Source organism: Homo sapiens, chromosome 6 (genome assembly GCF_000001405.40).
Source record: "Homo sapiens chromosome 6, GRCh38.p14 Primary Assembly".
NCBI lineage: Eukaryota > Metazoa > Chordata > Mammalia > Primates > Hominidae > Homo > Homo sapiens.
The window spans coordinates 19,007,960-19,031,685 of record NC_000006.12 but is presented as its reverse complement, the minus strand read 5'-3'; the positions used below and the strand labels follow the sequence as shown (position 1 = coordinate 19,031,685).

Sequence of the window (23,726 nt, the reverse complement as noted above, 5' to 3'; positions counted from 1 at the left end):
GGTGCACATGATTTTATTATCATAAAATGTCCTTTTTCTCTAGCAACAAATTTTGTTCTAAAGTCCATTTTGTCTGATATTAGCATAGCTAAAAAATGAGGTGAACAAGAAAGAAAACTAGATGATGGATTATATTTGGAGAGTGTTATTGAACAAATGAATATGATTTTGAGATTTGCGGTTTGGTTGTCAGGGTATGGCTATTCACTGAGATTGGGAAAGAGAAGGAACAATAGATGTGAACATTAAAGAGATGAGTTTTTTTGTAAAAAAATATTATTAGTTTCAAGATCTGTGAGAGAACCAAAAAGTCCTTGGTGGCTTCTTCAGAACTGTATTATTATCTGATTATTTTTATGTAATCCTATTTTGAAATTTCAAGCTTTATGTGGTCAAGACAATAGTCTACTTGCAATTTTCTCATGCTTTGTGCAGAGTTTAGCTCAGATTAGATGAAATGCTTTTAAATGGAAGGACTGATTTAGAAAACTTGATGTTGGGCAGGGCATGGTGGCTCATGTCTGTAATCCCAGCACTTTGGGAAGCCAAGGCGGGTGAATCATTTGAGGTCAGGAGTCCGAGACCAGCCTGGCCAACATGGTGAAACCCTGTCTCTACAAAAATTACCAAAATTAGCCAGGCGTGGTGGTGGGTGCCTATAATCCCAGCTACTTGGGAGGCTGAGGCAAGAGAATCAATTGAAACCAGGAGGCAGAGGTTTCAGTGAGCCAAGATCATGCCACTGCATTCCAGCCTGGGCAACAGACTGAGTAAGACTCTGTCTCAAAAAAAAAAAAAAAGAAAAAAGAAAAAAGAAAAAGAAAGAAAACTTGATGTCCTTATGAGTGTCTAGCCAGTGTGTACAAGATTTAGTTCCCTTAGCCTAATGGGTTGCTTTTTCTTTTGAATCATGGGTCATTGAACACTCTGCTTTCTTTCCTTAGAATGCCCTTCTCTTCTTTCCATATAATTCACTTGGCTAAGCCTACTTGTCTTTCAGTCCTCAGCTATCTCCTTCTACAGAAAGCCTTTTCTCATGACTTAAGATTTTCTGTGCAATTTCTTCCATTTACCCCAATGCAGTCCTTTTTGCACTGCATTGTTTAACAACCTATTCCATGAAGATATATATTGCTTCCAGTTTATTATCTTAGTTGATAGCATAATACATGGAAATTCAAAAAATTCTTTTTGAATTAACTATTAAACAGACATATTTAGCTATAAGGAAAGAACTATCTTTCTAATTGCTTATTTTACACTCCTATACCAGAATATCCGGGCACTGAATGTATTGACTTTTGGTCAAAACTTCGGAAAAGAAAACAGTTTCAGATAAAGAGGAATGGATATCTCCAAAGTAGATGTCCAGAGAAATATAAAAAGAATTTATTTATGGAACCTACATCAACTAAATCCTTTTCTGGAATTGAAATGCCATTCACCTCTCAAAGATGCCCAGGAATATGAACTAAGTTGGTTTTGATATGATTGGCTGATGGATGATGCCATTATCTGAGTTTGGTATCTTTGGGGCGCAGTTATCAATTACACAGCATATTTCATCAAAGCTAAGATAGCGTTCATTGTAAAATGCACCATTATTTTATGTACCTTCAAAATAGTAAAGGAAAACCCGATAAATAACAATTCTGTGACAGTAACTAAGAAATATTGATTGTAAGACACACTTCAATTTTAGAGACACTAAAATGTGAAAAAGATGTGTGTCTTGAACACAATTAAATATGTTAGATAACACATGAATTATAGAATGTGGAAGGACCTAAGACTTAATCTACTCTAGTCTTCACCAACTTATAAATAAACTAAGAACTAAAGATTTGTAAGTATACAGTAACACAAAAATTGGGGAAATCAATCAACCTTAAAAACCAGATGGGCTGGTTTGTTCCAGTGTCAACATTTTATAATTCTGTTCTAATATTAATACTAAAAAGAGACCTAGGAGAATATATGTCATCATCAAATGACAAATGTCTCCTTCCTATGTTAGAGATAGCTAATTTACCTCAACAAATATGTTACTTTAATTTTCTATACTCACATGCCTGAATCATAGCATCTCTTCCCAGTGAGTCAAGGGTTTGCCTAGAAAGAAAGACTTGAATCCAGGGTTTGATAGTCAGGCAAATACCCAATGAGATGTATACCCGATGGTACATGTAACTATTTTCCTGCCATTTAATAATATCTCATTTAGGCCAAGTGCGGTGGCTCATACCTGTAATCCCAGCACTTTGGGAGGCCGAGACAGGTGGATCACAAGGTCAGGGGTTTGAGACCAGCCCGACCAACATGGTGAAACCCTGCCTCTACTAAAAATACAAAAATTAGCTGGGCGTGGCAGTGTACGCCTGTAATCCCAGCTACTCAGGAGGCTGAGGCAGGGGAATCTCATGAATCCGGGAGGCGGAGGTTGCAGTGAGCTGAGATCACGCCATTGCATTCCAGCCTGGGCAACAGAGTGAGACTCTGTCTTAAAAAAAAAAAAAAAAAAAAAAAAAATCTCTCATTTAATCAAAGACCATTTCCATGGCATGAGATATTCAATAGTTCATTAGAAGAACAAATCAAACTTGCTATAATTATGAATTTTGAATTCACGATTTCTAATGGCAACTTTAGACTTAGCTTTCTTCAGTCAATTTTAGTTTCCTTGGCACATAATGCTCCAGGTTTTGTTTTAAAAAGCCACTTACTCCCTTTCTCTTTCCTTCATTTCCCCCTTCCCTTAACACCACAATTGAAAAACTCTCCCTCAATTCCACCTCCTCTCGAATTCCCCTACCTCTAGAACCTCAGGCCCTCCTTTCATTACTTTGCTAATAACAAAAGCATCTTCATTTTCTCTGGAACTCATGCAGAAGAAACATTTTAAGCTCAACTAAATAATTATCCACCTACTTTATATTTCCTAAAAGAAATCCTGATTGACTGAAAAATCACCAGGCTGTTGTCACCAGAATCCTTAATGTGAAACCTTCCTTACAATCTTTCTTCAACTTTCTGTTTTTGATGCGGGAAGCAGCAAAATTAAGGGAATTTGTGAATTTTATGAGAAAATGCCACCAGATAAATGAAGGTACATTTAATTGAACAAGTCATCAGAAATGCATTCAGTATATGAGTGACATGACAAAGGAAACCACAGAGTGTAAGAGGTGCATGGTTGTCTTTCAGTTTGTCACCAACCCTTAGAGTGGGCTGCAAGGTACGCTCAAGGGAATGCGCTCAAGGTCAAGATCACAGCACAGGCAACAGTTGAGAGCGTGGTGGGGGACAGGTGGAGGTGGGAGCAGCTTAAGAATGACTCACCCAGGCAAGTGAAGACAAAGCCTTTCTCAGCAGACCTAAATCCCAGTTGCTTCCTCACCTTCATTTTGCAAAAAATACCCTTTGCTTAGAAAGGATAAGAAGAAACCATGATTCCACTGAAGAAGTTCTCTGACAAAACAACCTCCAGATTGTCAATGGATTCTTCCTGCTTGTGAATACATAATATACAAATATTTATACATACATGTGCATGCATACAAAACCAGTATTTTAAATGAGTATAAAGTCCTTTCTGAAAGCAGGGCTGGCCCCTGAGCAAAATAGTAATTTAGCAAAGTTTGACTTGCTGTCTTCTCACTTCTTTTAATGCTACCTTTTTGCCCCTTATCTTACTCAAGAGTCTCATTCCTGTTGTCTCTGACAGCTTTAAGTGCCTCCCTGTTAATGTGCTAACTAATAACTAAGTGTTTTAGCCTATTCAAGTTATAACAAAACATCTTAAACTGGGTAATTTATAAGCGACAGAAATGTATTTCTCATAGTTCTAGAAGCTGGAAGTACAAGATGAAAATGCTAGCAGTTTTGGTGTCTGGTGAGGGCTCTCTGCTTTAATGATGGAGCCTTGGCCAGGTGTGGTGGCTCATGCTTGTGATCCCAGCACTTTGGGAGGCTAAGGCAGGAGGATTACTTGAGGCCAGGAGTTCGAGACCAGCCTGGGCAATATATCAAGATCCTATCTCTACAAAAAATAAAATGTAAAAAAATATATAGCCAGACATAATAGAACATGCCTGTAGCCCTAGCTCCTCAGGAGGCTGAGACAGGAGGATCCCTTGAGCCCAGGAGTTCAAGGCTGCAATGAGCTATGATAGCACCACTGCACTCCAGCCTGGGCAACAGAGTGAGACCTTGTTTCTAAATAAAGATAGTGCCTTGGTGCTACATGTTCACATGGCAGAAGGAGCAGGGGCACTCCCTTCAACGTTTTTCCTAAGGGCATTAATCCCATTCATGAGGGCAAAGCAGTCGTAACCTAATCACTCTCCAAAAGGTTCTACCTCTTAATGCTATAACATTGGGTATTAGGTTTCAATATATGAGGTTTATGGGGGACAGTATCATTCACACCACAGCAGCAAGTATTTGAAAAGTGCTGCTATATCTGAGGCCTTTTTAGAGAAAACGAGAGGGTCTTCAAGGCTGTGAGTAAGAAATGTGGACTTGATAACTGGCAATTTGGAAATAATTTTATTCTTTCTTGACCACCTCAGCAGCTTGATAGCTAGGAGGGGTCTATTTGATATATCTTTTTTTTTTTTTTTTTTTTTTTTTACTGGTAATGGACATTATCTATAGATATTTTAAAAATTGTGGGAGCTGGAAAAGATTTTGACAGTCATCTCAAACCATGTCTACATTTTATACATTTGGTAACTGAGATGTAGAGAGGCAAGAGAGTTATTGCCAGAGGCCATCCTCATTCCCATCATATTTCCAGGTCAGTAGTTTCCAGAAATTCTGCCTTGGGAAAACTGACACTGATTAGAGGTTTGAATTTTTGGCACTTAGCAAGCTAAATAATTTAGCATGTGTTATCTGAGAAGGCTGAAGATATAGGTCTAATTTGTGGACCCTCATGTTGAAGGGACATCTAAACCAGTTTGTTTTTGTCCATCAGTAGGTCAATGGTTGCTTAAAAGAAGGGTTTCAACTTCATCATATGGTGCCACAAGCCCTGGATAACATATATCAAATGCCCATGTATTGAAAAGAAGCTGTCTGCTCCATTCCTCTAGATGAGAAGGCCTTGGGAAAATCTTTTTGGCTATCTGCTTTTAGCACTATGGCTGACTAGGTGCTCTGAAAACCTCCTGTTACTATCTATTACATAGGACAAAGTCTTCAAAGCATTGTTTGCCTTTAAATTGGTGGAGATTTTCAAACCTTCTCCCCAAATTCCTGCCATATGAACTGCAGTGAAGAACTGGGATCAGAACAATCAGGGGTCAGGAGGAACAGGGTGACCTAAGGGTAGATCAGGAGAGTAGCAATGCTGTTGGTTACTAAGTCTTGAGCAAATATTAGAGAATCTGAGTCTAGAATTCTTGAACTGACCCAAGATAAACAGAAGTTTATTAATGACAGAAGCCATAGTCAGAAAGCATACCCAGACTGAAAGAAAGCCTTCTCAATTTTTGAGCTGCAGGATTTCCACCAAAGAGATCAAGTAATGTGCTCACAATCAAAGATCATTAGCAAAGTAGAAAGGAAGCTGTATTAGTTATCTATTGCAGAATAGCAAATTACTCTAAAACTTAAAGTTTTATGAAATGACTATAAATATTCATTATCCCTGCCATTTTCTGAGGGTCAGAATAGGAGAACCTAGAATTTGGGGAGTGGGTCAATGTTTTTCATAAGGGCACTGATCCCATTCATGAGGGCAAAGCACTCATAACCTAATCACTTTCCAAAAGGTTCTACCTCTTAATGCTATAACATTGGGTATTAGGTTTAAATGAGGGTTTCTCATAAACTTACGGTCATTTGAAGGCTTCATGAGTGCTGGAGGATCCAATTCCAAAAGTACCCACTCACCTGCGCTGTATTGGTGTTGGTTATTGATTGGCGACCTCAGTGCCTCTCTGTGTGGGCCTCCCATTAGGCCAGCTGAGTGTACTCCTGACATGGCAGCTGGTTTCCATCACAGTAATTGATCCAAGAGAGAGTAAGTCAGGAAGGAGCTATTCTTTTCATGTCCTAACCAGAAATGAAAATAGGGGCAAATTCCTTTGTAATCTTGGGGTAAAAAAGGTTAACCATAAAAAAAAATCCTATCATATTTTAATATTTAAATTAAGATTGTAGTATTTAACTTAAATTTTTATATTTTAATTAAAATTAAAAATTGTGTTCAGCAAATACACCATCAGAGAATAAGAAAAATAAATGGCAAACAAAGGGAGATATTTACAAGTCACTTAACAACAAAGGATTAATATATTCCAGAATACATACATAATTTCTACAAATCAATAACAGACAACCCAACGGAAAAACAGGCAAAAGCCAAAACACTGTTAAGAGAAAGAAGCATGGCCAAAACAGATATAATGAGGTGCTCAACCTAGCTAATAATCAAGGAAATACAAGTTATGACCATAATAAGATACAGTTTTACACCTATTTAATTATCTCAGATTAGAAGATCTGACAATACCCAGTATCAGAGAAGAAGTGAATCAATGGGAAAGCCAGTAGGCACTAAGTGGTTACAATCACTTTGGAAAACAACTGGGCTTTCTCTTGTGAAAGTGAATACTTACATGTTGTCTCTACCCAGCAGCTGTATTTCTAGGTAAGTGATTTTGACCCCTGGAATACCTTTGGCAACGTCTGGAGACATTTTTGGTTGTCACAACTTGGAGACACTACTGACATCTAGTGGGTAGAGGCCAGGGATGCTGTTAAACCTGTTACGATGCATAGGACGGTTTCCCACAACAAAGAGCTATCCGGCTCCACACATCAGTACTGCTGAGGTTGAGAAACTCTGTCCTAGGTATATGTGTCAGTGACACTTGCATAGATGTGCAATAGGAGATGTAGAAGAGTATACTCATGACAGCAACAGCTAACTGGAAGCCATAATTCTCCTTTAACAGGAGAATAGATAAATCAGTTGTGACATAGCTATTCCATGGAACACGCGATTGAACGATAGCTACAGACAACCATGATGCAAAGTGAAAAACAATAAATTTCATAAGAAGATATCCCATGTAATAAGTTTAATGAACTGCTCAAAAAGAAGCACAACTGAAAAAATCTGTTATTTAGGCCTACCAACAAGCAAATGACAAGAGTATAAAAGTAGAGTAAGCAATAATTACACAAAATTCAAAGTACTGGTTACTGTTTGTGCAAAATGAGGGGAATATTTCAGCATGGAAGCAGGGGATAAATACAGGGAAGCATTGCAACCATGTTCGAATATTTCGATTGGATGATAGGTTCACAGTTGCTCATTACACTATCACACTTTATAACTTACATCAGCAGTTCCCAACTTTTTGGCACCAGGGGCAGGTTTCATGGAAGACAATTTTTCCACAGAACAGGGATATTAGGGACAATTTGGGGATGCAAGGGTATTATTAATACATTTATTGTACACTTTATTTCTATTACAACACTTAATGAAATAATTATACAACTCACCATAATGTAAAATCAGTGGGAGCCCTGAGCTTGTTTTTTTCTGTTTGTTTTTGTTTTTTGCAACTAGACAGTCCCATCTGAGGGTGATGGGAGACAGTGACAGATCATCAGGCATTAGATTCTCATAAAGAGCAGGCAACCTAGATCCCTTGAATGTGCAGTTCACAGTAGGGTTCACGCACCTATGAGAATCTAATGCCACTGCTGATCTGACAGGAGGCGGAGCTCAGGTGTTAATTCAATCAATGGGAAGTGGCTGTAAATACAGATGAAGCTCTGCTCACCCACTGCTCACCTCCTGCTATGTCAGTTTCTAACAGCAACCAGTACCAGTACCAGTACCCATCCATGGCCTGGGAGTCGAGGACCCCTGACTTACATATACATATATATACATACATACAAACATACATATGTCACATATATTCTTTTGTACTATTGTATTAAAATTAAGTAAACAAAAATCATTAATCAGGCAGATGTGGAGAGGTAGATTGTACAATATAACCACACAAGGAACTACCTGAAATTACAGCAACCAACTTGCTTTTGTCCTTTTGGAGAGGAGATGCTGCTCTTTTTATGTTAGGACTAGGCTCAAAATCCTAATCCTAACATGAATGTATCTCATGAGTGTAATTTATCTCATGAGGTCTGTCCCAGTAGCTCACTAGAGTAGCAACCATCACATCAATATTGTTGACTTAAGCACCCCTTACCTTTAAGTTATGTTGGCAATAAACACAAAGAACACAAAGCAAATAAAGGATAGCATGGGGATTGTTAAGACATTTCTCTCTCTGTCTCTGTCTCTCTCTTTCTATACACTGTAGTCATACACTGGTAGGGGCATAATACCATATGTAACAACAGGGAGTAGGTGGATGATCTGCTGGATTTGTTTGTTTCTTCAAGAAGACCCTGATTCTCCTTAAAAGCCAAATTTTCACAATCACGTGCCTTTAAACCACAGGTTGGAAAACTGAGACAGCCCAAGTGATTTGGAGTGCCTGGGCCACCTACCAGTTTTAAACAAAATTGTAAAGATTTCCTGTCTTTTTCTTTCTTTCTTCTTATTCTAACCAGGCTTTCCAAGTGCCAGCCTACCTCTATTTCTGTTCTCAGACGACTTTCAAATAATCCCTGCTAGAGTGTTAATTGAAAAGCAAGGTATTAACTGATTATAGCTTAGTATGATCCCTCCTAGGGTGATTTTATTTTCATAGGGGACTCATAAAGGTTGGTGTGAGTAACAGGGAGTGAAGGCTCAGAGATGACCTTCAGGAGGCTATAGCTAACTCCAACACCTGACGGAGCAAATAAAAAATATTTGTTATGCAGCCTCTGAAAGGTTGGCAAAACCTTGCTTCAGGCCCTGTTTAAACACCCAGTCTCTGTCTACTACTTTTGGAACTGAACTGCAATAAAACCTCTTATTTTCCTGACCCAAGAGGAAATATTTTATAAATTATAGCGTAGAGAATTATTTGGCCAATATTTAGACCGGAAATACCCTGAAGAGTGAGAAAGGTAAGGAAAAGAACAGATTTGGAGAAAGCACAAAGGCCAAAGTCAATCAACAAAATGCTTAATAGTGTAAAGAGAAAAAACTTTTCAAGTGTCCAAGCATAAATGTCAAGAGTATTTCAATAAAACCCAAAAGGCTCGAAGTTGAAGCAGGTATGAGAAAAGGGGAATAGAGAAGATCCCCGAGGAGAATACAAGCATGTGGGGTGTGTATCTCCATTTACACAATAATTGTTCCATCACCTTCCTGTTTCACCGTACTTAATATTAGCAACTGCTTCGCCTGATAAGAAATGGTATCAGCCCTTTATAAAAGAGGTATCCCTGAGTCAGGATGTTTAAGCCAGCAAAAACTGGTCACAGCTGAATCCAAATCCAAATGTTCAATAGCTGTTCTTAAACTTTACTGTGCATAACTCACCTAACAATGTTCATGTAACATGAAGATTCCAGAATCACAGCTGAGGTGATTCCAATGCAGCAGTTCTGGGGCATGGCCCAGGAGTTTACAGTTTAGGAGCATGCCAGTTGATTCTAATGTAGGCAGTGGGCCACTGTGAAACAGGTTTCAGAAAGCCTAACCCAGGGTTTGTATTCAGTGCTTGCACCCCTCCTTCCATCTCTCAAACTGCCATTTGCTCCAGCAACATTCCTGGACAAACCAGCTTTGGGGAAGTTGAGACTGAGAGCTCCTCTCCTCATTGGCACCATGCATCTCTCACCTTCTGTTCCGAGTGCGTCACCTCCCATGCGGGCTGCTGCGTGCGACGCCTGCAGGAACCTACTCTGTGCTCACACAGGGGCAAAACTGGAAATGTGAGGAGGGCTAAAACTCCCAGGGGGATTGCTTGACCAATGGAGGCAGGAGCCAGTAGGTAAACATTCCCAAGTTGCCATTCCTCAGGACAATTTTCTGAAACTTATTCTGTATAATTCCCCCAGAGGGTCCTAGCAGGAATGAATTCCAGTTGCCCACAGGGATGGCCAGCTATATAACTCTTCTTCTCTTCCCAGTCCAAAAGTAAACCACTTATCCAAAAGTAAACTACTACATGGGAGCTCTTGCTGCAAACTCTGCCATCTGAGAAGAACACAGGCTCAGGGAAGGTTCACCTGAGAGACTGGCTCTGGAAACCAAGAAGGAGAGGGTGAAGGGGAGGGACAAAGAGCCCTTGGTATATTCTTCTCATGCAGCCTCACTCAGAGTAGCCCCATTTTGTCTGTTTTTTGCATTACACTTCTCCGTTTTAGTTTCCTTAAAAATAAAATTATGGAGATAAAAGGCATTTGAAAATAATCAGTCTAAGAAAAAGGCTCAAATCTTGGCAGCAAGAGCCCAAGATTTACCACTAGTACAACCTGAAATCAAGTACATAATATCCCCAGCATTCGTTTTCTTGTCTACATGACAGGGTTGTTGAGACAGTAACACACGATTATTATTAACTGATAATATAAAACTAATAGGAGTATGCCATGTGGCCCAGACCCAATCTCTCACTCCATGCAGTTGTCGTCAGGCTCGTTTGATTCCGTGATTTTGTTCACACTAATAAGCCACTGGACACAAGTCACACATATCCTAAAGTGGTTAGTTAGAAATCTTACGATGTTTGTGCAAAATTTGGCTTCATCTGTTGATGCTGCATCGATATGAGTTTGCTGTTAATACAAGTTTCAAGAAAGGAAAGGAAAGGAAATGGAAGGGAAAAGGAAGGAAAGGGAAGAAAAATTCTCACTAAACACGAAGCAAAATTATATGACTTCTACATCCTGTCTAGGATACAGGTGCCCATTTGGTCCACTCTTATTCTCTCTTTTCCTCCACAGTTTCTTTCCTGGGTTACCTGGTAGTCTGCTGCCATCCATGTACTTTCCTCACATTGACACTAGGCATTTTCCTGGATTCTTCCACAGGTTCTTCTGACGTGGAAGTGCAATATAAACATAAAAGCTTTGTTTGTTATAGCAGAAACTATGGATCCACAGACTTTTCCATTTGTTCCCAAATTTTGCTCTGTAAGAACAAAATAAAACAGAACCAAAATGAAGCTATTATGGCTCATGTATGATATCCATATATTCAAATAATTTTCATTGAGGTACAAGATGCATAGAAAAAGAGTACATAAATCATAAATGTACAGCTTGAGAAATTTTCACAAAATAAATCCTCTTGTGTAACTAGCACACAGGCCAAGAAGATTACAAGTACCCAATTACCCTCCCTATACCACTCTCAGTCATTACTTACACTCCAAAGAGAGCTGATATACTGACTTCTAATACCATCAATTTACTTTGCTGGTTTCTAAGGTTTGTATACATAGAATCACAATTTATACTCAAATGTATCTCGTTTCTTTAATTCAATATTGTAAGATTCATCCATATCATTACTTATAGTAGTAGTTCATTTTCATTGCTATGTGTAGCATTTACTTGTATAAATATAAGACAATGTATTCATTCTACTGTATTGAACATTTTAATTTTTCTAGATTTTGCCTATTTCAGAGTGCTGTTATGAGGATTCTTGAATGTCTTTTGCTACATCATGCTTACAGTGCTTTGGGGAAGGTACTTAAAGTGGAGTGCCTGGGTACACAGGTTTAACTATGTACTCAAATGCTTTCCAAAGGAATTGGAAATTAACAAGATCATTTAAAATGTATATGTTAATATGTACGGCTACATACACCCAAGACATTCTAGGAAAAAAACAAAACAAAACACCACTACCATCAAAGTGGAAAGACACTACCAAATATGACTTATTATGAAACTACACTAATCAAGACAGTGTGGTACTGTTGCAATAGTCAAATAATGGAATATAACATGGAGTCAAGAACTATCCTTTCTTCCTTCCTTCCTCCCTCTTTTCTGTCTTTTTCTTTCTTTCTTTCATTCTTTCTTTCCTTCTTTCTTTCCCTGTAGATGTCAATGTGTGTGTGTATACATTTGTATATTATATATAGATTTGATTTACAATAAAGATGACATTGTTGACTATTGTGGAAAGAATGGTCTTTTCAATACATGGTATGAGGTCAATATTATATCAATTTTGAAAAGAATAAATCTTAATCCCTGTCTCACACAATATACAAAATCAATTCCATGGTCTATCTGAGGTTTGCACTCTTTACCAGGTGTATACAGTTCATCAGAAAGAAATGAAGTTCCAAGGCTTAATCAGTTTCATATATCCTTTAATAAACTTTATTTTCATTCGTATTAAAATTCAAATTAGAACTCCTGATATTTTCTTTATTGAGACTAGTGGGGGTGCTTAATGGGTATTAAGAAAAATAGATAGAATGAACAATACCTACTATTTGATAGCACAACAGGGAGTCTATAGTCAATAATAACTGTACATTTTAAATAACTTAAAGAGTATAGTGGGATTGTTTGCAATTCAATGGATAAATGCTTGAGGGGATGAATACCCCATTCTTCATGATGTGTTTCTTTCACATTGCATGTCTGTATCAAAACATCTCATGTACCCCATAAATATATACACATATTATGTACCCATAAAAATTAAAAAAAATCCTTATGTATATTGTGGAAAACTGATTTTCTTCTCCCTTTTTCCCTTCTTTCCTTCCTTTTTCCCTTCTTCCTTTACTTTCCACCCTCCCACCATTTGTTTTTTCATTAATCTAACAACATACATCAGACATCAGTGGTTACAAATCAGCAGCCCACATGCCAACTATGACCTGAATAGTTATTTTAAAACACTTTGTGTTAAAAATAAATCCTGTTGCCAATATGATTGTGAGAATTTACATGAGATCAAATTACGGGGCATCTCTTGAAAATTTGGCAGATCTGGCAACCGCAGGCCAACAGTATTCCATAGCAACAGTCTGTTGGATTTTGTGAAACATTTGCCAGCTTAAGACAGGGCAACCCGCTCAGGTTTACCTTAATCCTCACTGGGCCTGTTTCACTCATGTATATTTATTACCTGCCTGACCCCTGTAGGAATTTTTATTCAAGGTTTCTGTTACCATAAATGTTTGAATAGTTAGACATAAAAACATGTTTCCAAAGAAATTATAGATGCATAAGTGTCAATATTGTTTTCTATTTATATACAGTTTTCAGTGTTCTACATATGGCAGCTAAAAAGATTCTTTCTTCTTCTTCTTTAGTTTTGGGCATAAATCCCTTCTTGTTTCCACAGGAACATTAGCTCAAATTTGCAGATACTGTGTGATACAGATAAAATTGTTGCATTTAAAACCATATGTCACACTGAACTGCTCAAGAGGCATCAAGCCTTTCTTACTTGCAGATCTTTAAAGATATAATTTTATGCTCAGTTAAGATGGAAAAGAGCATTAGGTTTGAAGATAAACCTATTTACTGTGGAAGCACTCACTAAATTATTTCACCAAATTACTAGGTAGAGAGACATTAGCAGAGCACGTTAAAAGTGAACTTTTTCAACTTACATATGTCTTCCTCCATGTTAATCAGCTGCCAGAGATTATCGTCTTGATAGTAGCTGGATACATAAGGATATGACAGACCTTGGCCCTATTTTTTTACACATTTGTATTTACTTTTTAAAAGTTGTAATAAGGATCTCAATTCTATAAGTGGCTATGAATCATTTAAAATTGTATGGGAACTCTTGCTCTATTTCAGGCCATCATTATATTATGGTGATCGGCATAAAACTCTATTACCATTTCACAGAGATAAAAAAAATCAACTTGAGTAATACAAAGTAAAGTAGTTCACAACTGTGAAAAGTCCTTCAGGAATAAGATGCATTTCAGTATTACTATTCTTCACTTCCATACATATAACTTGTGCATCCTTTTCAGACACAGAAGCACATAATGGAAGTATATGTCTTGTTTTAAGAAAATATGACCCCTAGGGCCCTGTTCTCTTAAGAAGTATTTAATACATCTCATGCAAATAGAGCGTTTAAATGACAAGCACACTGAATTCAGATCTCAGATATACAAAATTGCTTCATTCAGCTGTCTTATGTGTGTATATAAATGTACACACATATATTTTTCTTCTTCTTCAAGTGAATATTAAAAGCCAAGTATGAAATAAAGAGGATTGGAAGTGATCAGAGAGAATATCAATGAAAAATTTCCTGGCTCACAGGTGACCAGAACCCAGAACCCCGGTACCACTTAGCCAATATAAGTCTTGAAAACAATGACAATAACATTATGATAGTATACACAGAATATTTACACTAGTAGTAAATAAACAGAATGAATAGTCGGTTTGGGGCACGTACACACATATCCAACGTAAGGCCATTTCGTACTTAGGAGAACCTAAAGCTCAAATTGCTCCCATCACCATTCACTGGGACCTTATTTTCAGTTTCCAATTTTACTCAGATCTTCTCACTCCTACCTCCCACCTCTGATCCATTTCCTCCCCTCTACCCTGTCCCATGTGTTGATTTTGAGATCCACGGACCAAAAAGAAAACATGGCCTCTACTGTTCTCCCTCACATCTATATTTGCTTCTTCCATTGTCCCAGGTGTTGATTTTGAGATCCACGGACCAAAAAGAAAACATGGCCTCTACTGTCCTCCCTCACATCTATATTTGCTTCTTCCATTGTCCCAGTGCACTGAATGAGATGGAAAAAGGAAGGTGGTACTGAAGATGTAGAACTGTAGTTAGAAATAAAAAATCATAAGGAAGACAATTTTTATAAGCTTCTCACAGTACATTTTCAGCCACTATTCCTTCCTCTGACATAAACTTGGTTCTGAGCCTGTTCCTCCAAGTTCTCCAGTCCCTAAACATACTAAATGTTCTTTCTCCAGTGAATTCCTTCTCTCTCCAGCAGGACATCCACCTTGAAAATTAATCTTCCATACTCAATGGCCTTATTTCCTTCTCTAACACCCAAAAGGTCCCCATTAGCTACTATTTTTCTTGCTCTAAAAGTTTTCCCAAATCCTTGCTTTGCAATCTTTAGATGCCCAATCAATAGATATGTCACAAGTTTCAAACACAAAAGGTCATATGAAAGTTTCCTCTTATATTGGTCATACACTAATCCCAAATGAAATTCCTAATAAACCAGTTGTCATTCAACTCTTGCTTCCAGGTCATCAGTGTTGTTGAGTAATTTTGTAATAAAGTTTCAGAGTGGGCCTTTACAAGTTTATAAATGTCAGCTTTGTAAGAAAGCCTCTGACTTTACCCCAGTTTTTTCTGTCCTCTCAAGCCCCTTCAATTTTCTTGCTGTCAAACTTTAAATATGAGAGTGGTGTGTGTATGTGTATGTGTGTGTGTGTGTGTAAGATAGACAATAATTTGAATCCAGCCAGTTCTCTTTCCTGTATTCCCCAGATCAATATCTTCTTCCTTTTCAAATTCAACGTTGCCACTCGGGTTGTGCTCTTTATTGCATTTCCATCTCCATGGAGACCACACAAATCCAGTGTTTCTATCTTATACTTAATTCTCTTTGCTAATTTCTATGCTTCAGCTGGGAAATATATTCTGGCCTTTTTTATCCCTAGCAAGTTCTCTTTAAGTTTTCCTTTCTTTAACCATACAACTTTAAAAAAGTATATAATAGATATTAACCATTTCCTTCTTTCCCCTTCTCTTCTCTTCAACCTCCCAATCTTTCTTTCCACATCCATATCCCCAGCAGCACCACTGACTTTTATTAAAGCTCAAGCTTGTGGCACTATCTACTTACTGGATATCTTCAACTGGAGATTCTATAGGCACCTCTAATTTAATATGTCTGAAACCAGATTTATTATTTTCCATTTGCTAAAATAGTCTCTTTCTCTGCTATCTCTCAACCCACTTATAAATATCACTTAGAATGTTTTCTGTTTTTGATTCTTCATGTTCAATAAGGACTGAAAGAATTATAAAGCAGGGGGTTAGTGCTCAGTTGTCCATGTAGCTAACATATCTAGGTAACCACAATGCATCATTCATCAGACATTCAGGAATAACACAAGTATAGACAGTCTATTTTTATTTGGGTGCTTCATTTGTGTTCCTTGTTGTATCATCTTAATCAAGAAAAGGAACTTGTAATAGCTGTGGATTTCCCTTCTAGATGAAACTCATTTGTGTTCACATTTCCATTTCAGAAAAGAGGAAGGCAGCACCAATTTTAATTAAAAATCTCAAGATATAAATTCACCTAGCCAGATGTTATTCTACAGAATGTTCTTTCTTAAGATCATTATTTCCTAATTAACACACTGGGTATATGTTATATTTATCTAAATGGAGCTGGTGTTAAGAATGGGGTAAGACACATTCTTTTTGATAATCAATCTTATACAAGTATGACCCTCCTTCAGTAAACTACACCTATTTTAAGTGTACAGTTCAATGAGTTTTGGCAGCTGTATACATCTGTGTAACCACCTTCATAATAAAGGTATAGAACATTTTCATAAAACCAAAAAGTTTATCTGTGCCCCTTTGCATGAGGGGCCTTCATTCCTCCTTAACCCTAGGGAAAGTATTTACCTACATCTGTCACTTGCATTTTTTGGAATTTCATGTGAATTGAACCATAGCAATCAACTCTTCTGGGTCATTTGCACAGTATGATGTTTTTAGAGACCCACTTGTTGCGTGGATCTTGATTTTTGTTTCTGAGTAGTTTTCTCTCATGTGAATATACTACAATTTGTTTATTGTGATGCACTACTTGTTTCTACTTTGGGGCTGGAAGTTAATAAGTTTCAAGAACATTCATATACTTGTCTTTGTGTGTATACACGGCTCCATTTCTCTTGGGTAAATACCTAGGAATGAAGTGGTAGGGATATATATTAAGATAAGGAGCTTCCAAACTGTTTTCCAAAGTGGTTGAAATTGGCCGGGCATGGTGGCTCACGCCTGTAATCCCAGCACTTTGGGGAGGCCAAGGCAAGTGGATCACAAGATCAGGAGTTCAAGACCGGCCTGACCAACATGGTCTACTCTCATCTCTACTAAAAATACAAAATTAGCCAGGCGTGGTGGTGTGCACCTGTAATCCCAGCTACTCAGGAGGCTGAGGCAGGAGAATCGCTTGAACCTGGGAGGTGGAGGTTGCAGTGAGCCGAGAATGTGCCATTGCACTCCAGCCTGGGTGACAGAGTGAGACTCGGGCTCAAAAAAAAATTATATTCAAATATATATATATATATATATATATATATATATATATATATATATATGGTTGAAACATTTCACATTTCCATCAACAGTGCTACTTCAGTGAAGTTGGTGATTGTGTTTTTCAAGTCTTCAATATCCAACTGACATTTATAACTACTTGTTTTATTAACTACTGAGAAAGAAGTATTAAAATAGCCAGCTATAACAGAGAGTTTGTCTATTGCTAATTTCAGTTTGGTAATATTTTTCTCCTGGTATGTTTTGAGGTTCTGTTATTTGGTGCATACACATTTAAGGGTGTTATACCCTCTTGGTGAATTTACTCCGTGATGAAATGTCCCTTTTTATTTCTGATAATATTCCTTTATCTGATATGTGCTTTGATCAGTATTAGTATGGCCATTCTAATTTTCTCTTGATTTTTATCTGCATGTTATATTAAACGAAATATATTTTTATATTTGGAGTATATTCTTGTAGACAGTGTATAGCTGTGTTTGCTTTTTAACCCAGTCTAACAGCTAATGTTTTTTAATTAGACTGTTTAAATTCAATGCAATTTCTATATAGTTGGTATTATATAAATCCTCTTGATATTTTTCTATTTGTTTCATTTGTTCTTTATTCTTTTTTACTTCATTTTGTGTCTTCTTGTAGACTATTTTTATTTTCTGTATCTATAATAATGTCATTTTATTTTGTAATAGTCATTTGCATCTTTAATTGATGAGTCTGCCTTCAAATAATATACCACTTCAATAACACTATAAGAAACTTGAAAGAGTAGATTTATATTCCCCTCCTCCTTTTTGACTTCCAGTTATGTTGCTCTAGCTGGACTGTCTCCTATATCTCAGGACTCAGTTGAAACAACTGGAATGACTTAGCCCTATTTCATGTGCTCTATGCTTAGTCCCATGGTTTTGGCGATTTTCCAAAAAAGGAAGTGGAATTGTTTAAGTCTTCTTGAACCAACACACACTTTTACTTGCATTCTTTTGGCCAGTGCAAATCATAGGGTCAAACCATGTTTAAGGGTTGGAGAAAGAGATACGTTCCTCCACCCCTGCAGTCTCTTGATGAGGAAAGCTGTATGACATTGCAAAAAGTTTGGATATGAAAAGCAGTGGGAAGTTTGGGCTATTTTTACAATTAATCTACCATATAATCTTTACCTATGTAAAATGATCTTATTTTTGGAAACTGACTAATGACTCAGATTACAGTGATCTGAAGTTTTCTCTGCGAAGCTCCACTGATCATGATGACTCAGTCTAGCATATGGGCAATGGGAACGCTAGGGAATCTCATTAATCAGCCATCTATATCTGTCTCCTCAGGCCTCTGCCTATTACTGCCTCCATCTTCTTGTTTTTTGTTTTGCCAGATCCTGTAAATATGTCACAACTTATGATGAAGCAAATACCATTTCATGAAATCTATCCTGAGTGCCTTGGATAATATATTTTCATAGCACTTTGCACCATCACCCTTATGGCATTTATATTTTACCTTTCATTTTATTTGTTCTATTGTGTGATCCTCCCCTATGCCATATGATCTTTGAAGCCAAAATCATGTCCTTTATACTTTGCATCTTCTTCAAGATTAACTCATAGCCTTTTACATAATAGTTGCACCATTGAATAAGCTGAGTGAGAAATACATTATTGCGTACATGCCGTGGCTGCTTTTCTAATGTGCAGAAAGAAAGGCTTTAATGGTAATTTAAATCAAGACTCTAAATATTAATAGCAATCATTTATTGTATTCTGCATCCAAATACTGTTCTTAAAATGTTAAAAAACTTTAAGGAAAACTAGTAATTCTTCATTGTTGCCTACATCTTAACTTTAATCAATATTACAAAATTTCAGCCAATGCCTGCTCCGCTGCCTAATCAGTTTTGGGGAGGGAAAAAAAAAACAGGTCTTTGGAGAAAGAGCTTAAATTCAAATCTCTCACTGCTACTTCTCAAGTGTTATTCATCCTGAGATTCCTTCCAAAAGCTTACCAATATTAACTCAATATTAAAAGAACTAAGAGAGAGGGAGAGGGTCTGACACATAATAGGGACTTGTTCCTTGTTCACTTAATTCTCTTCTGTGTCTCAGAATGCAGGTCTGCTTTAATGGCAATTACTGTAGAACACAAGTGGGCTCTTGTACCTTTACAGAGGTGGGTTGGAAAGAAGATGAATATGAAGGAGAAAAGAGAGATTTGGTTTTTGTTTAACTTAAATATCTTTTCACTTCACTCTAGTTTATTGGAGAGAAGTCTTACAGGTATCAGAAGAGTTGAGCACCACCATGGAATAATATCCCACCATCTGCAAAAGGAAGTGGACTGCTCTTCCCCTTCAGCCTTTGCAATGAAGGGCAGCATCCTTGACACGATATACTGGAGAAAGTTTTACCCTTGCCTCCTCTCCTTTCAGAGAGGCTGATGATCCATGCCCAGTGCTCATAAATAGTCTGTTCACATCCTGCTTTCTGTTCCAATCTTTTCGTCTCTCCTTTTGGTTGTTACAACTGATCTATCTTTGAGATTTTTCACTCTTCAAATGTCCCAGAATTTCCTGCCTCCAAAATCATGAAGAGATATTTCAGATCTCAGAGTTCCTTATACCAATAATGCCACTTTGGGCTGCAGCAAATATGTAGTTTTCCCCACAGCACCACAAAAAAAAAAAAAAAATCTGAAGATATTAGAAAAGAGAGAAGGCTAGAGGACATTGGATAAAAAAGGGTGTGGTAGGCAAAACATTGCCCCTTTTCCCCCCAAATATTGTCCTCTAATTCCTGAAACCTGTGGATATGTTACCTTAATCTGCAAAGGCTCTTTTTCCAGGTAAGTTAAGGTCCCTGAGATGAAAAAGTTTTCCTGAATTGTACAGTTGGGCCCAACCTAATCCCTTGTCCTGGTTGAGGTGAGAGAGAGATGTGAGAATGGAAGAAATATCAGGGAGATGTATTGTTGTTGGCTTTGAAAATTGAGGAAGGGACCACTAGCCAAGAAATGAAGACATTCCCTAGAAGCTGAAAAATGAAAGGAATCAGATTCTGCCTCCAGAAAGGCATATAGCCCTGCCAACACCTTGATTTTAGATCGGTAAGAACCATGGTAGAGATCTGAACCTACAGACCATAAGATAATAAAATTGTGTTGTTTTACATCATTGCTTGTGGTAATTTGTTACAGCACAATAGGAAACTAACATAGTGGGAATGAATAGGGATAAGTAAAAGAGGCATTTTCTAAGAATGTCCAGCTGTTTCCAGATGAACACTTGAGCATCCTTTACCCCAGACTTAAAAGTATTATTTTTAAAGCCTTTGAATATATAAGCATTCTTGGAGAATGAAATTTTCTCTTCAAGGTAAAAGTATTTAACAAGAGGTTTTCTTTTCCCTCCATAATGTTGTGTGTCCGTGCCTATGCATATCTGAGATTAAAATAAAAAAATAGAATTAGAGAAACGGTTGGTATAGGTAGGTAATATCAGAAAGCCTCAAATCTCTATTGCTATCCTTGCCACAACAATCTGCCAATTGCCTGCTGGATGGAAGTTATGTTGCTATGTACTGAAGATACATAAAATTAAACATTTGGCCTCTGCTATCAATAAAATATTATATGATGTTTTGATTAACTTAATATTTTCCTGAACATTGCTTTTAGGAGGAACTCATAAATGACCTGAAAAAGTTTATCTTTTTCTATGTTTTACAGTGGTACCTGATTTTCCCCGTGGGCTCTGAAAAGCAATAAATCATCAAAGTAGAAATTTTATTCACTGACCTGTACCTACTAAGGCAAAATTTCTAAATGATACATTTTAGGATGATCTAACAGAAACTGGAACAGCAAAGGGATTGACACCAGCAGAAGGTCACAATCCCTTGAGTTCTGGTTAATGGAGACCATATTGTGCATTTATCATCAATTAAATGAGGGTATAGAAGGCCATTCACAAATGTTAGTTATGTAGAGATAGAGGAAATAAGGAGAAAAAAAACCTTATTGGACATATTAACGAAAACTGGCCCTTCAATGGAGCAGATGATCTGAGATCATCTATCTCTGATACTTTGTAGTGGTATGATATTGAGAAAATTCCTTAACTTCTATGAGCTTGCATTTTCTTAATTTTAAAAACATGTATAATAAAATTATGAATCACAGAAATTTTATCAGTGTTACATGAGTAAAAGATTTTAGAAGCACCTAGTGATACGTTTGGTACATATAATATTAATTAATCTTTTATTCAATCTTTCATTTGTTCAAAACCCACTTAGCATTTGCAAATACAGTGACATAATCCTTGAATATAATGACTCTGTATACCTAAGAACTGCTGATTTCCAAATTTCGAGATTTGCAAATGGATTCACCAATCTGCCAAGATCTGCACGAAATGTTTCAACAGAGCAATTATAAGTTAACTCTCTCTTTTGTTTCATGCTTCATTTTTAGATGTTTCATAACCAACTCCTTTGGAAAGAAAAAAAAGTAGCACATCAGCAATTTTTAAGCACGTTAGGATTTGAACAGCTGAATGACAGTATCTCCTGGAGGAAAGATTTTCTACTCACAGAACCTGAGATGAGAATCATCTGTCCCAGTTTTACAAATTAAAAAGGAAAAAAGAAACTCCAGTGCCTTTTCTGCCAGTATTTTCTGATGTTGAAATTCTGATACAAATATTCAAGTTCAATGCAATCCCATCATGAGCGTATGTGTATGAATGAATACGTATACATATATATGATAGACTCCTGACAATCAAAATAATGTTTTACAGGCAAGAATTCTTTAAATTAGAAAGCTACTAAAATGCATTTAACTTGCTTTGTGAGAAAGCTAACCCTTTGTCTGTAACTCCCAACCCTGGTTGCAAAATGCAATGACCTAGGCTGACTCTTTTTTTTTAATCCTATATCTAGAAGTTTCTCATTCTGATTTAATTGGTCTGGGATGACTACATTGGGATACAGACTACATTGGGATATTTATAAAGTTTCTCAGGTGATTTTTAACATGTACAAAGTTGAGAAACAATGCCCTACACCAGTGATTAGTGGCACATGGCCTTGGTAGTACATTACAGTCACCTGGGGGAGCTTTAAAAAATACTGATTCCCAGGGCATACCCCAGATTTATTAAATAATAAGAATAAGAGGGGAGAACCACAGTCATCAATATTTTTAAAACTCCCCAGCATAGGCTACCTGGGTTGAGAGACACTGCCTGTGCTCTGCCAGTGATATAATGATTATGATGTACATTAGACATCAGATGATTCATTATCCCGCCTATATCTCAACTCACTGCAGCTGGGACTCATATTAGACACCTCATCTTTGTTTCACATATAGAATTAACAAAATTAATTTCAGGTTCTATCATACCTTTACTAAGATGAACATTGTGTCAGTGATCAGAGAATTGCCTCTAGTGTTTCTGACATATTTGCTTTCACAATATTTTGAGAACTAATAGTCTACTCTGAGCAAATATTAATATCATTCCATGTGAGTAAATTTCGTCCTGGAATTGACTGTGGGCAATTCATGATTTCACGAGCACTGGGGTCTCTATTCCTTTGCTGGAAATTTTGATACCACCGATATATGTCACATTTTAGGCACATTTAACTGTGCAGCCGGTATTGGGTTAGACTATACCCTTCATGCTCATGACTCTTTAATATCTGCTAATTTCAGAAGATCTTTTGAATATCGTAGGGAAGTGTAGGTCCCTTTTACTTATCACCATTTTTCTAAAGCTCATCACGCTCCAACATTAGAGAAGTTTCAAGGAAGCTTCATCTTAATATTGACACCTTGATATGACCTGTCCCCAAAGAAGAACTGTCACGTTTGTGATCAGTATCTTCCCTCAAATAGCAATGGAAGCATTGGTCTGGAATTATTGAGTAATTTGACTTAGTGATAATTATGGTAGTCTACAGATACTAGAGATTATTATGCATTTATTACATGATCTTTGCTTAGAACTATTTTTACACGGTCTTTGTTGGCTCTCTTGTAAATCTGTTTCAGAGCAGGATCCTCAGGAAGCTGTATTTGAAATGAAGCTTTGTTAGATGAGAAATCAAATTCACAATCCTTCTGTGGTTTTGGTGCAAGAGCTCCATCTGGAAATGGACCAGCCCTTACTGCCTCAGCATATGTCCCAGGGACTACATTCTCCCAATAATTGAACACTTTGATTCCAAATGCAGCACAGTTTTCTCTCTTCATGCTGTTATTCACCTATCTCTGAGCATGCAAACTTCAGGAAGCCAAAGTGAGTGTAGAAAGATATTTATAATGAAGAAATAAAAAAATCCTTATCATAATTAGGTGATGCTGAAATATTCTTCTAGTTGGCATTCTGCCCAGGAGTTTAAAGGGTTTTTACTTAGTTCTGACTTTGCTTACCTGTAAACCAACCGAGTTCCCTCCATTTCCCTGCAGTTTGGCATTTTAGTGTTACAAACCATTATTC

The 23,726-nt window shown here is 37.2% G+C and overlaps 1 long non-coding RNA gene across 1 annotated transcript in view; it reads right to left on the bottom strand.

The window, feature by feature from the left end:
* The window catches only part of LOC105374958 (uncharacterized), a 119,161-nt gene that overhangs the window by 64,588 nt on the left and 30,847 nt on the right, over positions 1-23,726 (bottom strand). Inside the window, exons 2-3 of the long non-coding RNA XR_001744010.1 lie at positions 10,896-11,065; positions 5,899-6,060 (exon numbers count right to left, since the gene is read on the bottom strand). This is a non-coding gene — a long non-coding RNA (uncharacterized LOC105374958). The remainder of the gene's footprint in view (positions 1-5,898; positions 6,061-10,895; positions 11,066-23,726) is intronic.